Genomic DNA, 6,000 nt, shown 5'->3' on the forward strand with positions numbered 1-6,000 from the left:
CTTTGGGAAACAAAGACAGTTTTGAAGATTATTGGTAACATAAAAATATTTTTAAAAATGTAAACATTTGGTCTAAATTATGCAGGTCAGATATTAGGTTTACTAAATATAGTAAGGTCATAAACTGCTTCTTTGGCTTTTAAAAATTGTTCAATTTATTTTGGAGTATTAGATTCTAGATAAGGCCTGGGACATGCGGCGTTAGCCATGCCCTCTAGTTATGTTGGAAATAGTCAGACCCTCTGGTAGCCTAGTCTCCACACCTGGTACCTAATTAATATCACTTACTAACCAGGTTTTTCACCAAAAGTAAAAGTTCTTAAGAGTTAACATTGTAACATGTAATTAAGACTACTAAAGAAACAGTTCCACAAGTAAGTCCTATAAGGAAAGTGAAATGTGTTTTTGGTTAAAAAAAAATTATAAGAAGTCACGGGAGTGTGAATTTTTTTTTTTTTTTTTTTTTTTGAGACGGAGTCTCACTCTGTTGCCCAGGCTGAAGTGCAGTGGTGCGATCTCGGCTCACTGCAAGCTCCATCTCCTGGGTTCATGCCATTCTCCTGCCTCAGCCTCCCGAGTAGCTGGGACTACAGGCGCCCGCCACCACGCCCAGCTAACTTTTTGTATTTTTTAGTAGAGACGGGGTTTCACCGTGTTAGCCAGGATGGTCTCGATCTCCTGACCTCGTGATCCACCTGCCTCGGCTTCCCAAAGTGCTGGGATTACAGGCATGAGCCATTGTGCCCGGCCATGAGTTTTCTTTACTTTGCCTAAAGGGTTAGAGGATTATTTTAAGTTAGATAGAATAAAGCTGAAGGTTTAAGCAAGTTGTGGAAGGTTTATTTAAAAAATTAATTGTAAGAGATTTTGTGTGTGAATATATTGGCTAAAGTTGAAAAGGCATTATTCAGTTTTTCCATAAATTAAACATTGGAATAAAAGCAAAACAGGTTTTTGTTAGAGCAAAAACCTGCTTATGACCTGCTTTTTAACAAACATTTGTAAAGGATTATAAAAGGTTTATGAGAATGTTACCTTATGGTCAAACATTAAAATTGGGTAGATATGTCTATAAGGTTTTATTAAGAATTGGGTTTGACATCAATAATACACTAATGCAACAGTGACATTTGGCTGATTTAGTATAAAAGTCATAGAGGAAGCATCATCAAATATGAAATGGTGTTTGGCTTTCTTTGGGCTGTATTTGTATAAATGTTACTGGTATGTGTTCCAAAATTATTTTTTTAAAAAACTCCTATAATTATGATATGACTTAGAGTATGTTATTAATAATTACAATTGTTATATAAAATCATTGTATGCCACAGAGGTAACCAAATTTCTTTGTTTATCATGTTTTTGACTGTGGTTGTCCTAAGATGTTTCGTCACCCACAAACAATTGTCTTGTTTTAACCCTCTTTAAAAGGTGGTTTATAATCAACTATAAAACTCTAACAAGTGTTCTTGAGTGCAGGGTTCTGATAACTTTGGAAATTGTGACATCAGAATAGAGGAAAAACTTTCAGAACTCTCATGGAGAGCTGAAATGTTCATAGTTATCAAACAGAACAGGAGTTAACTGCATGGAGTAAACCAGTAGAAGTTTGAAGGAATCTTTTGCTTTTTACTTTGCTTAAAATGTTTCTGATCCTTTGTTTTGTTTTTAGAGACAAGGAAATTTTTCTTTTGAGCTATTTATAGCTTTTAACAGTTGAGTAAAGTATACTCCTGTGAACAAAATTTGGAGCATATTTGTTTCTCTCTACCTGATTTCTCCAGAATTTGAAAACTAGTTGCTAGAATTCTTAACTTATGGCAGTATAGTTATTTGCATAAGTGCAATTAGAATCTGTTTTCTTTTGTAGCAGGGCACAATTGGAAAAACTGGTTATTTTACCAAGACTTTGACGGGAATAGTGTGCTTTCCTTTAAGGAATCAAACTTGACTTGTAGAGCCAATAAAATCCCTTGGGAAAACTGGCCTGATACCTTGCTTCCACAGTCCCTGTATAGGGTTTCTGACCTGTGGTAAGTAAAGAATGTCATTTTCTATCAGGCCCAGGGGTCCCAAGTTATCTTGGAACCTCAAGAGGAGAGGAATTTACTCAATTCATAGATATTTGAGGGTACAAACCCATGGCAAGGCTCGGCTCTAATAAAAGCCTTATCTAAAATTCCTTCTATGGAACAGAGTTCCATCAAAGCCAATTTACAAAGAGCTTATGTAAAAAATAATTATTCTTGCAGCACTTTAGACAAATAATTAGGCCAAGTATAAAAAGGCAAATTGATCTTGCCATAATTTGTCTTTAGTCAAAATGGGAAACTGGAGAGAGAAATACTATGTTTCAAAAACTATGGTACACTTGTTATTAAATTCTAGTCTCATCAGTTGTTTTTAAGTTTGTTTCTGCAATTTAGGCTAACCCTGCTTATTCCTGTAAACCAACCAGTGATCTCTGACTGCTGCTTAAAAGAAACAAGACAGATGGGTAATGTAAAATGTGAATCAATATTCTAATTCTGCCTATCAACCCTGTATCAGCTTGGCTCCAACAGTTGCCCAGTTCATGGAAAGCCTTCTAATTTAGTTTACTTGGAATAATTTTACTTATTTTGCTTTACAGTTGTGGAATATATTGCTATTGAAATCTTGTTGTGTAGGAATAAGGATATGCTTTCTCAATGTTTTCTTAAACACTTATTAATCTTCCAGATATCACCTCTTGTCGAAACTCAGAGTTAGGAATGGCCATTACTATGCTGATGCTTTCTGACTGAGCTCCTCTCTACCCTAATACAAAGGACTCTCACAGTTAGGTTAGGAATATCATCACCCCTATTCAGTATGAAGAAGTTACAGAAGGTGGATCTTAGTCCCTCCGCAACCCTTATGATTAAGGGTTCTCTTATAAAAGGGAGGAGGGAAATGTAAGAGGTGTTTAAACCAGAGCAACTCCATCTTGAACAGAGGCCGGGTAAAATAAGGCTGAGACCTCCTGGGTTGCATTCCCAGACAGTTAGGCATTCTAAGCCACAGGATGAGACAGGAGGTCAGTACAAGATACAGGTCATAAATACCTTGATGATAAAAGAGGTTGCAATAAAGAAGCTGGCTAAAACCCACCAAAACCGAGATGGCGATGAGAATGACCTCTGGTCGTCCTCACTGCTCCACTCTCATTAGAGCCATGACAGTTTACAGATGCCATGGCAATGTCAGGAAGTTACCCTCTATGGTCTAAAAAGGGGAGGCATGAATAATACACCCCTTGTTTAGCATATAATCAAGAAATAACCATAAAAATGGGCAACAAGCAGCCCTCAGGGTTGCTCTGTCTATGGGGTAGCCATTCTTTTTTTTTTTTTTCTGAGATGGAGTCTTGCTCTGTTGCCCAGGATGGAGTGCAGTGGCACCATCTTGGCTCACTGCAATCTCTGCCTCCCAGGTTCAAGTGATTCTCCTGCCTCAGCCTCCCTAGTAGCTGGGGTTATAGGCATGTGTCACCACACCCAGCTAATTTTTGTATTTTTAGTAGAGATGGGGTTTCACCATGTTGGCCAGGCTGCTCTCAAACTCCTGACCTATGATCCACCTGCCTCGGCCTCCCAAAGTGCTGGGATTACAGGCATGAGACACTGCGCCTGGCCCATTCTTTTATTCCTTTACTTTCTTAATAAACTTGCTTTCACTTTACTCTGCATACTTGCCCTGAGTCCTTTCTTGTGCAAGATCCAAGAACCCTCTCTTGAGGTCTGGATGGGGACCTGTTTCCAGTAACACGTTCACTCACCTGCATGCACAGTCAGTCCTCAGTAGGCCTGTATTGTTTTATGCCAGCTTCTATAGTAAGAGCCAATGATAAGACAGGAGGATTCCTGGGAGAAATGTATTTTGTGTTCTCTCTTCCATATCAACTCACCCTCTTGTTGCCTCTCTGTGTTCTCTTCCTCTCCAACCCTGGCAGTCATCCTGGGTGGGATCCTGGGTCTCCACAAAAAAGGATGTCACTGGAACCTGCTCAACCACATTCCAGTGGGAAGGAGAGAGCCCTTCTGCATGCCCCCAAGACTCAAATCCTTGAAGCTCCTTCAGGACTTCAGAACATGTAGGAGTTCTCCTGGCTGCCCAGCTCACCTATCTTAAAAATATATATTTTTTAATTTTATCTGATTTAGCTGCTATTTTGAAAGTAGTGCATAGACATTAAATACATTTTTTTTGAATTCAGGAAACTAAAACATAGGAAGAAATAATGCACTAATTAAAAGTGACAACTGTTGGTATTTTGGCATAGAAATTCCTTCCTGTGCTTTTCTTGCTTTGGGGGCTGAAATGCTGGCTTTAAGTCATTAGACTACCTGCTGGGGACCCTTTCTCAAGGCTGCATTACAAAATATGCATTATAACATATGTTTCTGCAACCCACTGAGTTTTCTTTCTAATTTCCAATTTTCTCATTTGCCTACAGATCTGTAACTTTTTGTCTTGCTGTTCTTACTGTAGTTGAAGAAATAGGCAAAAAGTCTATCTAGGTTGGTGTCTTGAGTGGCTTTTCATTGTTCTCCTCTCCTGCAATATGAGTTAATCTTCTCTAGTTGAGGTAGATTCCAGGGAGGGTGGTCCAAGACAATTGCATTCCTTCTGGACAGAATTTCCCTTAATTAAACAAGAAAACTTCAAAGAAAGCCCTTCTCTCTGCTTTGGAAGGGAAGGGGGCAGTGGCAGAAAGTCAGAGAGAGACCTTTGTAAACCAAAATAAAATTCAAAGCCCCCCCACCCCAACAACCATCTGAATGGACTTCTTCTTCCAGGTCGGAGCCCTCTAAATTTAACCTGAAAGACTGGTTCAGGTCATGACGGGAAGTGGGAGTTCGGAGATGCCTCAGTATGCCCTCCTCTCTTTTGGAATTCAGGAAAAGCCAACCAGCATTTCACATCAACACAGAACTTAAGCCTGCTATCTGGAGACTTCGTCTGCAAGATAAAGCTCTGGTCTCCAAAAACTTTTTTTTTTTTTTTCCAGAGACAGAGTCTCACACTATGCCTAGGCTGGAGTGCAATGGGGTGATCTCAGCTCACTGCAACCTCTGCCTCCCGGGTTCAAGCAATTCTCCCGCCTCAGCCTCCTGAGTAGCTGGGACCACAGGTACCCACTACCACACCCTGTTAATTTTTTTTGCATTTTTAGTAGAGATGGGGTTTCACTATGTTGGTCAGGCTGGTCTCAAACTCCTGACATTGTGATCCGCCCGCCTCAGCCTCCCAAAGTGCTGGGATTACAGGCCTGAGCCACTGGGCCTGGCCCTATTGTTAATAATTCTTTCAACCAATTGCCAATCAGAAAAATTTTTAAATCTACCTATAACCCTATAAACTGGAAACACCCACCTCCCCAACAAGTTGTCCCAATGTTGGAAGTAAACGCTCAGTGCCGCCAAGTGAAAATAGCACTCAGGCAAAAGTTTTCTCAGCAAGGCAATTTACTTCTATAGAAAGGTGCGTCTCGCAGATGGAGCAAAGGCAAGAGCACACTGGACAAGGGAGGGGAAGGGGGTCTTATTCCTAATGCAGCTAGTCCCTACTGCTGTGCCTTTCCCCTATTGGCTAGGGTTGGACCATACAGTCTAAGCTAATTCCAATTGGCTATTTTAAAGAGAGTGGGGGTAAGAGCCAGAGTGGTGGGGTGAGTGTTTTCAGCGGGAAGGATGGTTACAGAGCAGGTGACTAAGGATGACTAGGGACAGAGCAGGTGATAGAGGATAGGAGGGGATTGTTTACTGAAACTAGGGGCAAGGAGACATAAAGAATGAGGAAGTTAAACTTTAAAATAGAGAACAAAGAACAGGGGAGCTGAACATACTGATACATTGGTTTTTTGGAGAGGATCTCAGAACTCATTGTACTTAACAATTTTCTCCCTCTTGAATTTTAAAGGAAGTTAACAGGCTAAAACCTTTGAGGAGGAATTTATTATATCCTGCACCAGCTTTC

Source organism: Homo sapiens, chromosome 22, assembly GCF_000001405.40.
Source record: "Homo sapiens chromosome 22, GRCh38.p14 Primary Assembly".
In the NCBI taxonomy this organism is placed as follows: domain Eukaryota; kingdom Metazoa; phylum Chordata; class Mammalia; order Primates; family Hominidae; genus Homo; species Homo sapiens.